We start from the raw sequence: 22,567 nt of genomic DNA on the forward strand, positions 1-22,567 counted from the left end.
TCTACAACCATAACTTCAGTTGCTGAATTTCCTTGAGATCTGTTTTGTCCCAGGCTCTGTGCTAACTGCCTTTTATGGCTAATAATTTATTAGTGTTTGTTGAGCTGACAAACTTTGCTATATGACAGCTCTCACATGATATAATTTAACAAAACTCTCTGAATTAATTGCCAAATACCTTGTCACTCTGCATGATTTTAAAGTATTTCTATAATGAACAGAATCAATTCTCACCATAGTACCTACAAAACAGCAAAACTGTTACATAAACAAAATAAGTGGTTAGCTTGATTTACATAAGGCTATTTCCACTTGAGATTAATGCACAGTGGGCACAGATTCTTACCTAATTGGACACCTTTGCTAGCCAGGTTAAATTATATTATTGAAACTTGTCATCATAATATTGTCCAAGGACATTTAGTCAGTCTAAAGAAAAATTCCAATGAATATTTTAAAAGGTTTTGCCTATTTTATTTTAAAAATTAGTATGGCTTCACCATCACTTAATATATTACAGTCTTCACATTTATAAAGCTTCTTTTATATCACTGTATTTTGAGCTACTAAACATATATATAACATTATTACAATAGTACATATTTTAAAAATCTACTCACAGTTCCTTCACTCCAAGATTTGTCTATCTTTTCTATGCCTTGTCAATGCATGTATTTTAATAATAAAATTCATGACATAAAATCTAATATTTTAATATTTTGTTTATACATGATAATCATGTCTCATTGTTTCATATATTCTTCATAATTAATGTTTCAAATGATTTTCATTCTATTCCATTGAGTTGGTGTACAGCCAGTGCATAATAATGCTTCAGTTAATGATGTACCACCTACAAGACAGGTGGTTATAATGAGGCTAAAAAATTCCAATTGCCTAGTGATGATGTAGCCATCATAACGTCATAGTGCAATGCATTACTCATGTGTTTATGGTGATGCTGGTGTCAACAAACCTATTGCGCTGCCAGTCATGTAAAATTATAGCACATACAATGAAATGCAGTACGTAACACTTGATAATAATAAATATGTTAATAATTTTTATATACCTACCATATTACACGTTTTATCATTATTTCAGAGTGAACTACTTATAAAAGAAAAAGTTAACTATAAAACAGCCTCAGAAAGGTCCTTCGGGAGGTATTCCACTGAAGGGGACAAGATGTGGAGGTAGAAGACAGTGATGAGGATAATCCTGACACTATGTAGGCCTAAGCTAATGTGAGTGTTTGTGTCTTAGTTTTTTAACAAAACAGTTTAAAAAGAAAAAAAAAATCCAAAAAACACAAAACATTTTCAATAAAAAAGCTTATAGAAGTAAAGAAGTTACAGTAAGCTAAGGTTAATTCATTATTTTAAAAATTATAAATTTAGTGTAGCCTAAGTATAAAATATTTATGAAGTCGACAGTAGTGTACAGGAATATCCTAGGCCTTCACATTCAGTCATCATTTACTCACTGATGCATCCAAAGGAATTTCCAGTCTGCAGGCTCCACTCATGGCAAGTGCACTACATAGGTGTACCATTTTTTATCTTTTATCTCATCTTTTTTTTTTTTTTACCTTAGCTATCATTAGGCAACTCATGACTATTGTTATTTGCTATACCACTACCATATTACTGGATAATCTGGGTTTGCTTGAAAAATTTTTTCCTACTGGCCAAAAAGGTGCAGTAGATATCTTTGTTCATTTTAATTTTTACTTTATTAATTTTGTGGATGAATTATCATATATGGGGTTAGTAATTGGAAAACTATGCACATTCTCCTGTTTGTTGTAACGCATAGTATTGCTGTAGTTTAAATTCAAAATCACCTTTAAAATTGGACTCATTTGCTATTCATACTATCTACAGTTTCTTTAAAATAGACATGTAAACAAACACAATATAATGTTCTGAAACTGCAAAGTAGTGTAAGAAGCATAGTGATGGAAACAGAAAAATTTGGAACCAAATGTCAAGCAAATAAGTTCTATGGAAAATTGGTTGCCCCACCATCTCCCTGTCACTTCTCTCATTCATGGTAGAGGGGAAAAGTGAATACTTAAGAAAACACTTTTCAGATTCTCAAAATCATTCTTGTTTTCAAGGGGAAGAGCCTAATTCTAGAATATGTAAAAGTGTTTCTATTAATGCCAACAATAGTATTCTAGACAAAAGAAAGATTAAAGACACAGATGCATCATTAAATCTCTGCTATTAAAGACAAAATTAAAAACAACAAATTTTCCTTGATTAAATGTTCAGTGAAAAATAAAACTGCATGACAAAAAAGAATAAAATATTAAAAATAATCTTTAATTTTATCATCCAGAGGTAACTGTTCTTAACATTACAGTATTAGTCCTTTGAGAATTTTTTATTTATAAATCTATTTGTATATATGCAAATACATATACACACACATGCATATATATACGTGTATATATATTTACACGTTATGTATATATATATATATATATATATGTATTTATAGTTACAGATTAAAATCACCTAAATTGTAGATTTCACTTTCTCTCCTACCTCTGGCTACATACATCACCACCCCAGAGACACTCAGTGTTTTCAGTTTCTTGTATCCCTTTTAGGGATAATTTGTATCTGGGTATGAGTGTGTATCTGGGTATACATAGGAATCTGGGTATAAGTATGTGTTCCCCAACTTCTCCCTCTTAAATGGCATGGTTTAAAAATTGCTCTGCACCTCGCTTTAAAAATATGTATCTTGGAGATTCAACCTCATTCTTTAAAAATAGCAACATTGTATTACATTGGCTAGGCTATGTCTAAGGCTAAGTTCCTCTTGCTGGACATTTACATTGTTTCCAGTTTTCTGTCAACAAATGCTGAAATGACTGTTTATGTACACAGCCTTTGAGTGCTTTTGAGAGTAAATCTTCAAAAAACCTTTCCCAGGCAAAGATTCCTGATGATCAAACATTTTTCTGAAAGGTAGTAAAAATGTATACTCACATTAACAGAATGACAGTGCTAGTTCCCCACATTTTCACAAATGTAAGATACTATTAACCTTTGACTTTTGTCAGAATAATGAATTTAAAAAAAACTCACTGTATTTTTAATTTGCATATACTTCTATAAGTATGTATGAGTTACTTATTATTCCTTAAAATGCATATGAATCTCTTTATCTTCATGTAATTTTTCAACTGGGTGTATTTTCTTTTTTTCATTTATAAGCCCATTATAATTTTTAAAAGTAACACTTCCTACATGTGTATTGCTTTTCAAGTTGATTCATAAATATTTTCAGCCATGTAGAAATGTCTATATTAAATGTTATTAAATCTATCAAGGTATTATGAATAGCTTTTTAATCCTGTACCTTATTTAGAAACAACTCAATTTCAAAGTATATATACACATAATCAAAATACAAAAGATTTTGCAAGTTTTCTTCTAGTACTTTTATGGTTTAATATTTCCATTTAAATAGTTGATCCACCTGGGAATTTACTTAGATTTTTTTCCCTGACTCTATTCTGTTCATTTGTCCCATCTAGCAGTCTCTAAATGTCATCCAATTTTAAATAAATTTGCATAACAGTAAGTTTTAAAATCCAGTAGTACAGTCTTTTGTATTTTTATACATTTACATTTTTCTATATAATCTTTAATATTACCTGGTTAAAAACTAAGGTGCTATTTTTATTAGCCATTTTAATTTTATCAAGTCTTCTTATAAATGAATATCATAATTTTCATTTACTCAAGTCTGGGGACTTTCAGTGGAATTACTTTTAATTTTTAGAATAATCAGGGGAAAGTAATTTTTTACAATACTGTATATTTCATTCAAATACATGGAAATTCTTTTCATTACTTCTCTATTTTTATGCTTAAAATTATGTATTTTGTTATTCTTTAAGGTTTTGAATATTTCATGTTATATTTTCTCCTGAGTAGTGGAATCAGACTGAATTTAAGGATGGATACAAAGAGTCAAAATTTTTATTAGAGTGAATCTTTTAATCAAGAATAGGATACATCTTTCTATTTATCAAAATCGTATTTTGGTGCTACAATAAAGTTCTAACTTTTATTCATGGAAGTTCTGCACATTTCTTTACAAGTGTAGCCCTAGATGTTTTATTTTATATTGCTATTGTGTTGAGATTGTTTCTTTTTATATATTTTGGTATTAATTAGGAGAAATTCATCTGCATTTAACAAAAAACATAAATACACTTGTTGAGTAAAACTAAAAACTATTAAGAATAAAAACAAGAAATGCAGAGATAAGCTGTCCATAGCTTGATATATGAAAACTAATTAACTTTAATGTCTCTCTTTCTCATATGATGTCAAATATAAATATAATAATCCATGTAAAGCATATAGAAAAATCATCTTAGGTACTTAATAGGTGTTATCTATATTATTATTCCAATATATGTGGGTGGAATATGAAACTTTTATCAATAATAAAAAATAGGATAAAGCTAGGCTAATATTTTGGACAAAAATTAAAATCCCTGTTTATACCTTATACCAAAGTAAATTCTAGATGAAGTATAAAGATTTAAACTGAAAAACATTCCTGAATGCCAGGTGAAAAAATATTAAAAATAATGAAGAATTCTATAGTTCACTGGTCACACAATTAACACATAAAAATCAGCAACTCTCTTCATAAAGAAATAAGCTTTAGAAAGTGTTGGAGAAACGGCTAGCTATCTAACCAATATCTACTCCCTCTTTTTTTCCTGCTAATAAATTCTTGATGTTGTCTGAGAGAGCAATTTGCACAATTTAACATTCCTGCTCACCCAGGCATCTTTTCATCTAGGAGGGTAACATAGCCCAGCCATAGTAAGGACACTAAGCATTTGTCTATTTTCCCTGACAATGGTTACTATATGTTTCAATTTTAACCTTTTTTCTTCTTTATGTAATATGGAATATCTGGAGGTGCAGCATCCATCCTGAAAAACTGAGGACTGAAAAATCAATTGTGGTATGCAGGGAGTGGTGATTGATAGCGCTGGGATTGAAAGTTTGGCATAAGACTTACAATTACTATCCTGTCCATAACACTATTCATAAAACTGTCAATTACTGTCCTTTTACATGTAAGTTAGAATCTTAAAGTGTAAGGTTTCCATTCCCTAATTCCATTGAAGTTATGATTGGAATAATTTTTGCTTTGTAGAATAATGTGGGAGAGTAATGCTTTTCCAATATTAAGTTTTTTCCATTCAAGCTTGGTAAATCTCTCCATTTATCAATTCTTTTAGATTTCCATCATTAAAGTTGTCTATTGTAAAGTAAAGTTGTGTGTTGTAAAGTCTGTTGTTGCTTTTGTTTATAGATACTGTATATTAGATCCACTTAATTGAGAAATGATTATGAAGTGCTAATTGTAAATACTCTTCTAAGCATTGGGAATAGAAGAACAAGACAATCAAGAACTTCTCTCATGAAGGTTAAAATGCAGAGAAGACAGAGTTAGAAGTAAAAAGATTGTTTATTAAATATATATTTATTGAATGTTATGAATGTGCCAGGTTCTTCTAGTTAAGTGTAATCCAATGAGTTATTCATTTGTGTCAAAAATATTTTCATTTATATAGTCTTTATAGTTATTAGATAAGTTACATTTTATTTTTTTCTGTGGTTTAGGGAGTCTTTCTTAACAGTGTTAATAGTTTTAATTTTTTCTGTTGACTTTCATGGACTTTTTCAGGTAGACTATCACATAATTTGCAAATAATTACAGCTTTCACACTTATTTTATTTTAAAGATTTATACTTGTAAGACCGTCTTGTGAAAGATAAAATAAATAAATGCTTTTAAGAGATTGTGAAGACCTGGGTGAATGTTTAAATAACTTCACATAATCCACAAAGCACAATGATAATTACAACATAGTTAACTAAAAGTTTAAAAAGGGAATAATACCAAGAATAAAGTCTAATTTTTGCTTTAGAGAAATATAGGAGGTCAACAGTGGCACATTCACAAATGCCAAATTTGAAAGAAAAAATCAGAAAAGTGTTACTTTTTCAAAGTTCCTAAAATAAAATACTTTCCATGTGCACTATACATCTTGAAACGAAACTTTGCTTATTTATCTTGAATTAATGTAAAAGCATTTTGAAGTATGAATTGTGAATATAAGCACTTTCTATGCAAAAATGTCAATATAAAAAAGATAAATTATAACATATATAAAACACAGAAAAACAGACATTTTTAACATGGAAAAGACTTGGATAATATTGCTATGGAGTAAAAGGGTTTTTAAATTGAACCACAATTAATATAATTTCAGAAAACATTTTTGCATGATTATAGGGAATTGTCTTGCCTATATTCTAAATTTATACCAAAATAAAATGTACATAATAAAATATATCCTAAATTCCAAAATATGTATATTTTGTATATGCCTTATTTGGAATTTTACCAAAATAAAATGTACATAATAAAATATATCCAAAATTCCAAATAAAGCATATATTAAACATTGCTTTATACCACTGAAAATAATTTTATTGAATCCAAAACAAGTATCCAAATATATGCTCAAAATATTTAAACTCACCCAAAAACAAAGTGACTGAGAAGAAAATTGGAAACTCAGGTAACTGAGTCCATTCTTACTGACTAATACTTGCCTTTAATAACTAAGAAGCCAGGAAATGTCAATTAAAACATTTAAAGATTTCAAGGAGAAATTTTAAAGCATAATTGCAATTACAAATATTTTAAAAATAAATTAATGTGGACATTAAAATGCAGTATTACATATAATTCCAGTTGCTCCCTAAAATGTGTACTAAAATATTTAAAAGGCTATGATTTTGTACTACAGGAAAACTTTATTTAATTCTCTGCTTTCAATGTCTTGACGATTGCTCCCTTTGGTCTTATGTGAATCTAGACCCAATTACAACATGCTATTAATATTATCAGGACACTTCCTGGCAGTATGGAATTAAGCTGTGACTGAAAGTAATTTTCGATTACACTGTGCTGTGTGATTTCTGTAAGTATTGTTTTGTTTGTAAAACACTTTTCGGACTCTCTGCCAACAAAATAGTTTTTAATCATTCCATTGACTAAAGTGATATGATATGAATAATAACAACAAACTGTTTCACTCACCTCCTTTATATCATGAGAATTATGGCCATATACTATAATTTTTATTCAGCTAAATGTTATTTTAAAAATAATTTCAAATAGTATCAGAATTTGAGTTAATTAATATGATGAAAAGTTAAAAATGCTAAGTCTGCTTTGCTACATAAAAGCTACCATTTCCTGAGCTTACAATACATCTGTGATGGAGTTTATTAGCCATTATACAAATGAGGAAAGTAAGATCAGATATACTTAGCAAATATTTGTCTACTATGTTCAGGACACTGTGCAATTCAGCATAGAATCAGATAGCTACAGTCTCTGTGTGGAGCATACAGCAAATGGGATCTGACTCGAAGTCTATCTTTAATGTCAAAGAGTTTAAGGATGATCTTATCCAAATGTAAAGAAAGACATACAACTATGCAACAGGAATAAGTTGTACCACTAAATTGAGAGTTGAGAGAGAATTTTTCTAAGGGTAAGAGAAAAATCCATCCCACTATATGGGGTTACAAGATGCCAAAATATATATAATCCATAGTTAACGTTTTTGAAATTCTACACATATTGCAGTTCCTTTTCATATATCTAGACCAATGCAGACCTGTGAAACGACAGTCTGGACAGAAATAAAGACTGATGAAAGCCTTCTGCTGCTCTACATACTGCAGTAGAAATCTGGAAAATAAGCGAATATTTGGTACTGACAGGGAAAGGCCTGTAGAGCCACGAGTGTTTGAAATGTTCCAGAAACAACTGGGAGGAGAAGTGTGGCTGGAGTTCTGTGAGTAAAAATGAGCAAAATAAGATAGAGGAGGTAAGATCAGAGAGGTATGGGGAAATGGGCCGATCATGTAGCCTTGTGAGCAACTGAAATAACTTTGGCTTTTATTCAAGTCAGTTATTGAAGAGTTTTTAGCAGTGCGGTGGTATGATTTGATGCATTGTTTTACAATGTCATTCAGTATGCAGTATTGACAACAGACTGAAAGGAGGCAGCAAAGGAGGAAGCAAAAAAACCAATCTGGGGGATACTACAATAATTAAGATGTTATGTGATGTTTATGAAACAAAACCACCTTGGCAAATGAAATTGAGCCATACTCCATATTTACTTGAACTATGATTCTTCAGTAGAATTAAGAAAGTGGTCGTAAATGAAGATGGTCACATCTAAGAATAAACAGTGTGTGATAAATGAACAGATAAGAATTAGACAAAGGAAAAAAACAAATGATATCTGCTTTGGCTTGACTTTTTTTGGGTAAATGATGAAATTCTTTCCTGACTCAGAGTCATGAGACTTGCTCTTCTAGATTAACTGGAAAGACATTTACTATACTTCTTTGAATACTGTTCCACGACAGCTTTGCCTCTTCAAATTAACCTTTCTAGTTCTAGTGTAAAGTACTAGCCTTTGCTTACTCCTCTTAAAGAACTGGTCAGTAATGAAAGGCAACTATCCTTTTTTTTTTTTTTTGACACTAAAGGAACTCCTGGTGCTGTATACAATTTTTCCTATTTCCAGCTTCAAAAGAACATAGTTACCACTATATGCATTCATTCATACATAGTGAAATACTGTGTACTGAAATATGTTCTGTACAACTTTGGCTAATTCTTGCCTTCTGCTTTTTTTACACAACAAAATAACTAAAATATTCAATGTTCTTATCTTGTAGTCCAAAGGTGCTTTGAGAGTATTCATTTGAACAATCAGATCTTGCTGTTGTCAGCTTAGTTACAACAGCTTACACTCTTCAAGGAGTAGTATTAAAATCACCTTTTCTAGGATAAGGACAAAGCTTCTTTTGTTATTGCTATTTTGTTTCTCTCTTCTTTGGCATTTTGTTTTGAATCTCATTTCCTTGGATTAGGTGGTTTACATTCTCTAAGGATTATAAAGCTGAATGGCTTAAATTTTTCATGCATAAGGACAGAAGGGTGTGTGTGTGTGTGTGTCTGTGTGTATGTATGTATGTAGATACATATCCCACCTCCTACAGAAACACATATCTAGGTGAACTCACTTTAAATAAATGGATGCCTGGAAAGTACAATGTAAATCAAATCCTCTGAGAAGAAGCTCACAACCAAAAAGCATTACGCTGAAAGTCCTATTATAAAGAAAGGCTTCTTACAAGAAAACAAAATTACCTTATGATATTACCTTTTGCTTACATCTAGATTTTTTTATTTTTGGCTTAAAAATCACACATACAGAATTTACGTAAATAATACTCATTGAAATCTTTGGGCAAGGAATAACAACTTACCAAAATAAAATGCTTCAGGGATTTCATTTAGGCTGACTATCATCGTATAAAAATAATATTGGTCACAGTTTGATTATGCATTTCTTACAATGACATCCCTATTCATTAGCACTGAGCACTATGAAGGTCACGTGAACCACCTTCTGCTCTGGAGAAGTAAAAATCTTGTTGAGGAACACATTTCAATAAGAAATAATTACAGAAGACAGAAATTAATAACACACTAACTGAATATAGAGAATAAATATAAAAATCACTAGAGAGAATCAACCAGAGAAGATGGGACATCAGGAAGATGCTAAGGAGGGAATATTTGGATAGGCAGGACTCAAGAAGCTACCCCCAGACATTAAAATTTAGGAGAAAATAAGTGTTGATGGGCAAGGGTTGAGGAGATGAAGACGCTTCTAAATTGTGTAGAGTTTGTAATAAACGAAAGTAGAAAATCAACTTTTATTAATAAGAGTGAGATCAAACAATGAGCAATACTAAAAATATTTGAAGAGACAGTCAATAAGGAGCAAAATATGAAAAATAATGATGTGTATATTGAAGAAATGTTGAAACGGCAGAAAGATCAGATATGGGGTAATGACATTAATTTAGAAGTAAAGGCAGTCTAGACTAAGTAAGTATAGAGGAGAAATTAGGAGACCAATAAGCAGTCATTGGCACTGAAAAACAGAATTCCAGGCTCTGTCCTATGTAAGTGTTCTCATATCCTTCTGTGACATTCACAAGTGGAACATCTGTATGAAGCCTTTCACCCACGTGTCCACCTTGAAGACTAGAATGTAATTTGCAAGAAACCCAAGTGTAGCCTATTTTGTTCACTGCTACATAGCCAGTGCCTAAAATAATATCTAGCCTACAGTATGAGTGCAATAAATATTTCTTGAATACTTACCATTTCAAAATATAGTTGAAAGTCTACTTTTCTTTTGAAACTTTTCTCAATTATTTCAGGTAACAAAGTAAAAAGTTTAGTGGGGAAAACATAGGTTTTGGAATCAAGTAGATCTGTGTTCAGCTACTGACTACCTCTCAGAAGTGTTTCAAAAAAACTTTTCTGACTTTCATTTTTTAAATTTGTAAAACAGAATGTTACCCATCTTTCAGTGTTTTTATGAGGTCAGAGACACATAATGGTTATCCAATCTGTGACAACTATTAGCTAAGAGCCAGATATCATTCAATCATGCTTTCTTTACATCTATCCAATGTTGCATATGTCTGAATTATAAGATTATCACTTTATACTAGATAGTAACATGTCTGTTTTTTCTCCCTCCATACGCAAACTTATTGCTGTACCACCCACTTCTTTAACATGCCTAGAAATTTTGTCTCAAAATTCATTACAACTCCAATCTCAGTAAAATTTCCTGTTTGATTAGACTTCAGTACTTTATCTTTGTTTCAGTGTCATTACTTTTACTCTTACGTATTAAAAGTATTAATGTTCAAGTTTGTCTTCATTCCTGAAATATGAGCTGTGCAGACAGGATGCTAGTTTCCATTCACACATTCTTGATGCCTAGGAAAGTACACTGGACACACAGACACATTTTATCAAAGATGAGATAAAAACAAAAAGTATGAAATTATGTGACAAAACGTTCTCTAGGCAAATGGATATTACAAAGAACAAAATGCCTATTAGAAGATGTTATCTTCCAGAGAAATTATTCTTAGAAAGAAAGCAATAATTCTTGGAATTATTGACAAAATGAAAATTGGGCAGATTTTAGAAACTCTGTCCTGTCAGGAATTTTGATAAAGGAATTCAAGATAACCTCAGAGTTTAAGGAAGCAGGCCTTAGTTATATTTTTTATATACCTGTTTTGATATTGGAAATAGCAGCTATTGCATTCTACTTGAGAGTCTGATCCATGTACTTTTTATCAGTTCCTGATTTCAGGAACCAGTGATCACAGGACCTTATTTTGTTAGTCAACAGCACTTACTAAACTTTTACAATGTGCAGAGCAAAGAGGCTGTTGAAAGCGATCACTAGATATGAAGACACCAGGCTCCTCTGAAATCAGCAACCTACTTAGATAGACAGGAATAATGAAAAAATAATGTACCCAGAGTCAATTTCACATCATATTCTCAGATAAGGTTGATGTTTTGGTGTTATTATTATGGTATCAAGGTATAAAGCCTGCAATGTTGAAATTCTGCCAACCCTTCAGTTTTCATCAGGTGTCTTTTAGAATAAACAAAAGATTGCACTTTGAGTTCATTTCAACTAGTTGCTGTGGGCTTAGCCACAATGAGTAACAATATGAGTAACACAGAGTAACACAATGAGTATCAAAAGTAAGATTTTCTTTACTCTTTGAATCTAAGTTTATTAAACTACTTGAAATAGAATGGCGATATCAAATTACGTATTGCAGGGCAGTTATAGAATTCAAAAATCTATTCATGTGCTTGAAGAAACACATTGATTTTTTTCCTGGAAAGCATGATGCTTTTATGCATATTATATCGAATCCAGATCTTATTTTTCAAAAAAGAAAATAGAGTATTTTATCTAGTTAAAATTATACGAAATCTGTATTTTTAAATGATAGCTTCTGGTGGACAGAAAATTACATAGACAGTATGTAAGTAGAACAGCATTGGATTATTTATTGATTTATGTCCACCAAAACTGACAGCACATTGTTTTATTTTAAAATAAATAATATTGGCAAAATGTGGCTCTTTTAATACTCTACTGCCAACATACAAACTTACTTTCTTAATCTTTAAGACTGGCTTACAAATACTGAGGGGAAAACTATTTTTCAGTATTATATTCACCTTCCAATATCACATAATTTACTTTTGATATACTGTTTATTAGTGTTATTTTCTGAGACCCCAACATTAAAAGTATTTTTGCAAATGTAAAATTAGTTTCAGCTTGTAGCCTTTTAAAAAAATAATATAAATTAGTTAGATATAACTGCCTAACAATATCAAAACAATAACATTCATATGTAAAGTCAAAATGATAGCTTCATAGAGGAGATTTAACTCAAATGGCTACCCGTGGACCCCAAACAAAATGATCAATGCTCTTCCTGTAAAACAATGCTTTAGTAGTCAAATGAAATTACAGGGATCTCATAAAGATATGTAAACCAAAGATACAATAGCTGCAGTATGCCTGGAAGTGCCTAAGCTCCCAAGCAAATCATCCCTATTAGTTCCTATTCATGATTCAAATTATGCTATTTTATCTCTTCATAACATGCAGCATTTTTTTTACCCTCACATTTTAGGCATTTTAGCTTCTGCTGACACGAATGCATTCCCAAAATAGAACGTTACAGCAATCTTCTGCTAGACATTTAAGCCCATTTGTGCATTTATTTTTTAAAATGCTTTTTTTGAACTTTCTAACTGTGAGAGGGCTGGGAAGGTAGTGTTAGAATGAATGAGAACTTGTTTTCTAAAGCAACACTAGACACTTGATCTACTGTTAAAAAAAAAAAAATCACAGTCTCCTACCTTGAAAACAAACATCTCACGACGAAGAATAGCTAGAGTGTTAAAGTTCCCATCACAGATGTTGGGTTTGGCTCCGGGATAGGAGGGTCTGCCGGTTGGAGGCCGAGGAGGTTTTGGCCTGTCATTTTTCCTTGGGTCAGCCGGAGGAATAGAGCGGTGTGGGGGCACTGTCGGTAGAGGTCTTGTAGGTGGAGGAATCTTGTCAGGTGGACCTTTTGAAAATATGAGGACAGTGCTTGGCTCACTTAAAACTGGAATAGAGCTGGAAAATATGCTACAGAGAACAATCACTTATCAGCAGAAGGCACAGACTAACTGAACTAAGAGGTCTTTAAGATCGTATATTTTCTGAAAAAAACAAAATATCTTACCCAAAAAAGCATTGCCAAGCCTATCTGAAACCGTCCTTATCATGCTAGCTTCTGGATCCAGGTAGCTAGGTTTTCTTTGTTAATTTTTAATAATATTTTTCATAGCTTCACCACAGTTATTTTTGGGAAAGCTGCCTTCAGATCTTTTTTGGAAGTAGGTGGTATATAAATAATAAATAAATGAAAAGGAATACTGGAGCCATGTAAGTAAGCTCCAACAAAGTTAATCCTAGATTTCGATAGATAATGATTCTATTCAAATATTTCCAAAAGATAAACGTTAACTAAGCAAAGTTTATTCTATCCAATGTGTCAAAACTATTTGATATTCTTTTATTGATTTTCACTGTTTTCTTCTAATGAAATATTTTGACAAATTGCTGGAAGAGTGTTTCCTCTAAGTCGTGAATCTAAAATACCTATTGATTAAAATATCACCAGTAAAATATTAATGTGAAGAAGTATTTCTCAAAAGAGGCTTCTAAATCAAGCCAAAGTTTACACATGTAATTTGGTACAGATGTAAAGCATCATTCTCAAGAGATTCATGTTTTTAAAAAGAAATGTAAAGCTGTTTGCACTTAATATTTAGGTATGGGAAGAATATTCTTTTGCAGACCTTCAGTCTAGACTACTAATTCATGAGGTCATGAGAAAGAGACTTCTTTCAGTGAACCACTTAAGAAGAATTTCTGATGACACACACTTAGAAATAGGATAGCTCAATTCAACATAAGAGATATTTAGCACTGAGTCAGACATTTCTCTCTTCTTGGTATCCCAGCAAACTAAAGAGCAGCACAAAAACTGACCTTTTTTTACAAATCTATTTTACCCCTGAGAGAATACTTACCACTGAGTTATTAAAATTAAAAAAAAACTAATGAATGCAAAAACGAATTAGTGAACTTAAACTATGCTGCTTAAAAATGCAAAAGACATCTATCTTCTGGATACTGGATATTAACATACAGATAGCACACATTTGTCTTTGTATCATAAAAACAAAAGCTTCACTTCATTAATTTAGTATAAAGCATATTTGCTATATGTAAATTATAAATGTCAAGTTCTTTGCAACTATGTGTGAAATAAATGTCTTTATAAAGGTCAATGGTTGTATGAGGAAGTTACGATTATAGTAAATATGCATAATAGTCTTTCCCCTTTTCTCTTAATTTGCATTCATTGAGTGAATAAAAATGACATTACTATACTAAAAATTTGTTTTGTACTCTGTATTAATAAACTTCACCACTTGTTAATTTCACTCCCTTGTTTGTTAACTCTTACTCTAGGTCAATAAATCATTATATGACTTTGGGGTCAATTTCTTGCATCTATCACATAAGGGTATTTTGTGGGCCTTCAAAAGTGTTTTGTCTAGGAAATACCTAACATCAAATCTCACAAACTATGAGTCAATCTGTCAGTTTGTAGAAAAGTCTCAGCATTTTATTTATGAAAGTCTTATATTTTTCCTTGTTTTTTTTTGTTACATTCATTTATTACATATTTTTACCTGAATTTTAAAAACTAAAGTTTATTAGAACTTTGCCGTAACTGCAGGTTTTTCAACCAAACTCAGTAAGTAAGAAAATTTCATCAGTGCTTAACATGTTCCCATAATCTATACATTAAGATACCTGGGACCTTTGCCAACAAAATTCAGTTGATAGAATAATTTTGCCAGTAGGCCAGCTACATACTTTTTCTGTAGTCATCTGTGTTATACTTAGAGCATCTATCTCAAAGAAGAAAACACAGCAGAAATTCTGGACTTCACTATCGGATTAAGCAAATTGAAACAGTAGTAACCTACCATATATCTTCTGGATGCCCTGTAAATCATCATTAGGTAGTTTGAAGTTGTCTGTTTCCATGTACTGGTAAAATGGAGCCATGATGGCAGTGGGGTCATTGGAATGCTCCAATCCCAGAGCATGTCCCAGTTCATGGACTGCTACAAGAAATAAGTCATTTCCTGTGTGAACAAGAAGAAAATAAGTTTTTGTAACTAATATCCAAATACAGAATTGAAAAGGACAATTTGGTATTATCAACATTTTACCCAAGAAAAATAGGAGGTACTCTTTCCTTCAACTATTTGTATGGTTTCATCACTGGCTTTCCTACTGGCAAAAATCCAATAACCTTTTTTCAAAAAAGGGTCAAGGGAAGAGGTGGCGGTGATAAAGTCACAGAGATTTAGAATCCAAAAGGGAAGAACAAAGAATAAAAGTTGAAGAGCAGCAGCATTGGAAACTGATAGTACTCCTGTCAAAATACTCTTCTAATTATGAAACACATAACGTGAAACATCTTACTTTTATATGTCTCACATTTAATATGATTCTAACAACTTAGTAAAAAATATAGGGCAGATACTGTCCTTACTTTTACAAAGATGAGTAAATTAAGGCATGAAGATGACAAGTCTTGTCAGGAACAGCAAAGAGCTGAGATTGGGACTCAAGATATTTTGACTCCTAGACTAAAGCTTTATTTTTTTGCTAGCATAGAATAAAGAAACACAATAATGTAAAATAAAATCTATAGGCTATTAGTCATACTAACTAGAATTATAGTCCTAGCTCTATAAATACCAATTCTAATCTTTTCATATGTAATCTGAACAAAATACATTTATCTTAAGAGCTGCTGTTTATCACTGAAAATTTCCACCTGTGGTAAACTTGTACAGTGAAATCTATTGAGTAAAAACTCTGCAGAGATATTTGGTGTGATTTTATGCAATCAACCCCGTTGATGACTTCTACATTTTGTTCAGTCCTGGATCATCATAACCATATGCATTATGGGAGAAAAAGGTGGTCTTACATCTATATTTTTAATGCTAAAAATTTACTTGGACAACGTGGTGTATCAAATAGCTGGGGCTGTTACATTTCTAAGGGTTATGTTTCTAAGTGAAAAGTTTAATGTGATTGAACATGAAGGCTAATATTTCACATGAATACTTGCCACAAATGCAAATATTTAATAATTTCAAGCATCATTTCTATGAAAACTCCTTTCCAACCACTTTTATAATGTACTATAAGAATTGCCTTCAGAAGACTATTTTTTGAACCCAAAAGCCAGGCGAAAAACCAACATTTTTTCTACTCTGGAGTAGTCTGTCACAGAGGAATAGATGAGATCATGAGACTGACTCTTCATATGACATTAGCATAGCAAAAATGAGCCACTGACAGTACTTCCTGTGGTCTACCTGATTAAAAATACTAATAGAGCATGGTTACTGGGGGTTGTCTAGGGAACATCATAGTCATAGGAGGAAGAAAAAAAAGAAAACAGAAGGAAGGAGGAAGTTATTCATGAAGAGTTACATAACTATGACAGTGTTTGGAAGTATGTAATTTAGGGAGAAGACTACTAAGGATTGTGCCTTAGGGGGCACTCACAGGTGAGAGGATCATTGGAAAGAAAAGAAGCTATATTCATTTTTAGATATGGAACATCTAATCCCAATGCTAAAATGAACATCTTTGTAATTTCAAATCAGAGACACCTTAGTTAAAATACAAATCTGATAACCATGTGGCTTACTGCTACCCTAAATAACATGTTAAGTGGAAGAAGGATAGCTTCGGAGCATGCCCACACCCAGAAAACATGGGTCAATTTTGGCTGGAGTATGCTATCAATGGGCTAAGTGAAAGGATATTTTCACCAAGAGCAGACTGAATGGCAAAACAAAGATTTATCAAGCAGACAAAGGAGCAAAAGAAGCCCAGGCAGTCTAACGAACAGCAGAAAACTCAGGAATTGGTATTCAAGTTCACCATGAACAGCCTAGTCACACATGAACTCAGTCAGAAGACAGTGCTGACTCAGAAAATAGCTTCAGAAACTCCTGGCCTTCTTTTAGCAAAACTGATGCAACTTCTTGGTCAGACAGTCCCAATGTAGACTTACAGGGATTATATCTTGTTTTAATCTTTACAGGGAAAAAAAAAATTCCAAACTTCATCCCCTCCTCCTTGCATATCAGGTCCCCTTCACTAGAAAAAACAGACCCTGCTGTGTTCCTAAACACATAGGAAGTCAGTCTTACTCTTATGCAGATAAATATTGCTTTCAGTCAAAACTAAAATTTTGGCTAGGAGCCTAGCTGAATTATTAAAGGTACTTCAAACCTCTCACAAGAAAATAGTCTCTTGCTCTCAGTTTTTTTTTTTTTTTTCCGTTTTTGGCTAGAAAGAGGAATACAAAAAGACAAAAACAACACAGACATAATAGCAAACAGGTCATAACAGCCAAAGCCATTCTGTTTCATGTATCTGTTCGCTTCAGATCATTCATATTTTCCTAAGCATCGTTTCCAAGGGTGGAGTCATTCCTTGTCTCAGGAATAAAGTAAGGCTTTAGAAGAAAATTAATAGAACCAGGATATGAACTTACGACCTGTCGAGTACTCTACAGCACTTTTAATCAGAAACATTGGCCAAGGGCTCCAAGTAATTACCATTCTTCAGATGATTGGCAATAATGTAATTAAACCTTACTTGCAGCTTCACAATAGTTTAAAAGGGTAAGTTGTTCAATAAAGTACTGCCCTGTGATTTGAATTCCACTAGGAACAAAAGTTGTTGGCACATGACAAGCTTCAGACAATTAAAATGCACTGGACCTCTTTCCAAATGATGAAAATAATAACTGCTGCTGTAACTTATCATTAATTCACATTATTCAAAATCCTTAATTGTAATATGCCTTGATTTTATCACCAAGCAGGCAACAAAGGAGAAATCAGTCTCTTGGTTCTTAATACAGAAATAGTACTTGCTTCTTTTGCAAGATTTTGAGTTTTGAGTTCGTTGCTTTCAATTGTATCCATAATCTCCTTTCCTTTGTATACTCCAATACAATGTTAGAATATTAAACTATATTATGAAGGATAATGAATTATTTGTCATTTCTTTGTCATAATTATGTCTATATTTTATTCCAAGTTCCTTCACCCTTCCATGCATTTTCAGATACTGTCTTCTCCGCTGACATATCCTGAATGTTAAAAAATGATCATGTAATATTTTATACATACAAATTGTTATGGAACATTTATAATCCTACTAAAATATTTGGATATCACCAGCATCACTGAATCTCTCTCTGATGTTTCTGTGATCCCAAAACTTTGGCTCTTCCATTCCTTCAAGAGGTCATCACTACCCGGAGTTCTGAATTTCTCATTGCACTGCTTACATTTTTGTTAAATGTATTTTGGTATATTTTGCCTTGCTTACACTTTTATCAAATATGTATGTTTCAATGAATTACAGTTTCCCCTAGTGTTGTAGCTTTGCAAAGTTTATCTTTGCATGCTGTCTTCTAAAACTTGTTGAAACTCAGCATTTTTTTTCCTAATATATATCTTCTATCTTGCCTCTGTCAATTGTGCAAGATCTTGTTAATATTTTAAAAGAAAAATCAAAGTCATCTCCTCCATGAAGCCTTCTCCAAATTCCCAGGTCAATTCTGTCCCTCTACATCTGTGTATACTTGGCCTTTCATATATAACTTGATTGTAACACATACCATAATTGCCCTGAAAACTTCTGATGCTCTTAATATTCACTTGTAGGTTAAAAGACTGACAGAATAAATTTGAACAGATTTCTAATTTTAAATATATAAATACTTAAAATAGTACAGTCCATATCTAGAAATAAAAATCAGAAATCATCACCAAACATGTGATTAGTAGAAATTTCTCCAGTGCTTAGTGGATAGATAGGATGGAATAGGTCTTCTCAACCTGCAGCCCTATCAGACTATGTGTACAGTTGGTTTCTCTAGTTGAGAAGCTAAAGAGATATGTGGGAGCCAGCCTCCGAGATGACAACAGTGATCCTCACCTCCTGATCTCACACTCACATTGTATCAGGGTTTTATCAGTTTGCCACAGCAAAATATGGCAGAAGTGATGGTATTTGACTTCTAAGGCGAGGTCATACGATACATCCATGACTTCCATCTTATCTCTCTCTCTCTCTCCCCTCCTCCCCCCACCCCTGCCTCCTCTACAGCCATATGAGTTAGCTTGGAAGTGAATTTTCCAACCCCTTCATATGAGTGCAGCCCCGGCCAACATGGATATCCATGAAATAACTCTAGCCAGAACCACCTGGCTAAGCTGCTCCTGGATTTCTAACCTTCAGAACCATGTGAGATAATAAATTGTTGTTTTAAGTTGCTGGATTTTGGGGTAATTTTTTATTTAGCAATAGATAAATGCTGTGGGGTATTTTAGCACTCTATCTCCTCTCCATTTGGTTAGGATTAAGAGGTGATTCTAAGAAAAAACTGAACAGTAGAAAGGAAGCTACTTTGAAGCATGTGAGTGTTTATACAGCACTTCTGAAATAAACAAGGGATTAAAATATTGTCCATTCCAACCCCCTCTACAAAACCCAAAAAGCTTGGTATAACTCTTGGTCTGAAGGAACGTCTGTGATTGAAAATTTCCAGAGGTAGATGTATCATCTATTTTCTTGTCTCCTGTGTTTTTTCAAATCTGAAAAACTTGATACTTTTGTTGTACCTATGCTATTACTCTCTTTGCACTTCGCTGAAAAGAGGGCCACTCTCTTGGTGGTCAGGAAAACGTGGTTCCTGCCAGAGAACCAGAGAAGTCTGACAGACGGGTCTGAAAAAATAACATAAAATACTATTTATTCAGCATCTATTATGAACTATAAATGTCACTGAACTTGTTACTGAAACATCATGACCTAAACATCATTACTCCTGCTTTACCAGTAAAGCTCTCAGAGGCTATGGAACTTGCTCAGTCAGCCAGCCCATAAGAGGCAGAGTTGGTATTTACATCCTGGGGGCACAGGTCACCTAAAAAGAGTTAGGTCATAGCTTTGCAATACAGAAGCTGAGAGAAGCTGATCTTGGGTGGATTTTCACGCATCTCTTTCTGACACTACTGCTCTTCCATGGAGCCTCCAGTATCTCAAAGTGCTCTCTCTTGCCTTCTCCCTGCCCACCATCCCTGCCCTCAACATTCCACCTAGGCTGGGCTGCTCCCCTAGTGCCTCAAACTCTAGAACCATCCCTCAGTCCTTTCTCTAAATGCTTTTCCCCAATTGAGTCAGACATAGTTTGACTATGAAAAATGTTTATTGCAATCATTTTTACTTAGCATTGATGAGTAAATTTCTTGCAATGCACTTGCGAGTAGCATTTACGTGTGTCAGATACATTTTATTGAGATTTATTTGATGACAAACCAATTTATTTTTATATATGCTCAGACCTTTGAAGTCTTTTGTTGTACACAGGACTATTATTATGCCCCAACACTTGCAGAATTAAAAAAATAGTTTTTATAATCTGTTATGCAAGTGATAGAATGAAATATCAGTTAATAGTCATACGTGCCAAGTAGAGTACTAGGTACTTAATGTGTTAGTTCATCTACTCTCTGCCATATTAATTAGGTTTTATTATTATTACCATTCTACAGACTGAGAAACTATGACTTTCATTGACAATGGAACTTGACCAAAGTTACAGAGTAAATAGCAGAAACTTATGTAAGCCCCCATATAGTCCAGGTCCACAACCAAGAACTTAGTGTGCTAAGAAAACGCACTTCTCCACTTTTTCCGTAGCCCTAAACATCTTTTCAAGGCTCTACTGAGCATCCTAGGAGACGATGGCCACCCTGTCAAGCCACCTTCAAAGAACACAGCTGCTGCACAGGAGCTCTTTGTAGGCATCTGTAATAACAGTATTTCTTTTTTCCACTGAACTAATAATAAACTTAATATTTTAAAACTTAGGAAGTGTTTTAGTCTGTCCTGGATGCCATAACAAAATACCACATACTGCGTGGCTTAAACAACCAAAATGTACTTTCTCATAGTTCTGGAGGCCAGAAATCTGAGCTCAGGGCACCAGCATGGTCAGGTTCTGGCGAGGGCTCTCTTCCTGACTTCTTCAATGCCCAGCTTCTCTGTGCATACTCACTTCGTAAACAGAGAGAAAAAGGAAGCTTGCTGGTGTTTCTTCTTATAAGTAAACTAATCTCATTAACTGGACCTTATTCTGGTGACCTCATCCAACCCTAATTATCTCTCAAAGGCCTGATCTCCAAATACTATCAGATTGGAGGGTTAAAGCTTCAACCTGTGAATTTTGTGGCTTTAACCACAAAATTTTTATGAACACAATTCAGTCCATAAAAATTCCTCAGTCCAATTTGGCTGCTCAAAGAGCTTTTATCATTTTCATTGCTTCTTACTTTTAATTAAGTCTGAAAGTCCTGGAGATTTTTTTTTTTTTTACAAAATTAGAAAAAAAAACAGTATTGCTACAATTAGAAGAAATAAGTATAGTACACAGAACTTCACTTTTTAAATTATATTTCAAAATATTTATTCAGCAATTAAAGAGGTTTGCTGGGAATGTTAGAATTATCTGTTTGGATGTGGTTTAAAGCATGTCTAATAAGGCACAGTTAAACACTGTGCACTTAAAATATGAGGAAAACAAATTGCCATTTAACAGGTCTTCCAAAATCAGAAAAAGTATTTTCAGAAATATGTAAGTGCCAAACATTTATAGTATTTAATTAAACAAATATTTTAGATTAAATCAATATAATTAAAACAACCTACGTATACGTTAGTCAGGTAAAGTAGAAAACCTAGGAAAATATTTGAATAATCAAGGCCAAACTATACTTTTTATTCCTTTGGGCTAGAGTTTGAATATGATATCTGCATTTAATGAATTAGACCTGTCTTTACTTAATTCATAAAAGTCTTGCTGAAGAAAAGCAAGATTGGATATAGTTAATTGCACCATGCTAAAAACAAAGCCCTTTTTGTTTCCGATTGAGCTCAGTTAAGATTCTAAGAACATTCTCAGTTATGTTTCATGTTATTTATTTTTGTGTGATTTATCTGTGCAACACTTTTTCCCTGGATAGCTCAGTTTGATTGGTCAGGATGATTCTGGAGGCCTACTTGCCTCTCTCTGCAGCTAGTGCAAAAGAGATCAACTTCACTGACTGCTTTAAAAAAAAGTAATCACATAATAAATTGCAAAGCCACTTTTTAGGAACTGATCTGAATTGCCATATTATTTTTATTTCCAAAATAATAATACAAATTATTATTTATATGGCAATCCTGGTAATATGTGCCACTACTTCCAGACCAGCAACAAATATATGACAAAAACTCTTTTAAAAATTTTCAATTATCTACTATGTGCAAGGA

The 22,567-nt window shown here is 32.8% G+C and overlaps 1 protein-coding gene across 2 annotated transcripts in view; it reads right to left on the minus strand.

Annotated features, from left to right (window-relative positions):
* MMP16 (matrix metallopeptidase 16) overlaps nucleotides 1-22,567 on the minus strand; it is a 295,473-nt gene that overhangs the window by 71,566 nt on the left and 201,340 nt on the right. For both annotated transcript variants that reach the window (NM_005941.5, XM_024447154.2), the window contains 2 exons: nucleotides 15,124-15,285; nucleotides 12,931-13,142 (listed from right to left, as the gene is read on the minus strand). In NM_005941.5, coding sequence (NP_005932.2) covers nucleotides 12,931-13,142; nucleotides 15,124-15,285 — 374 coding nt within the window. The remainder of the gene's footprint in view (nucleotides 1-12,930; nucleotides 13,143-15,123; nucleotides 15,286-22,567) is intronic.

Source organism: Homo sapiens, chromosome 8 (assembly GCF_000001405.40).
Source record: "Homo sapiens chromosome 8, GRCh38.p14 Primary Assembly".
Classification (NCBI taxonomy): domain Eukaryota; kingdom Metazoa; phylum Chordata; class Mammalia; order Primates; family Hominidae; genus Homo; species Homo sapiens.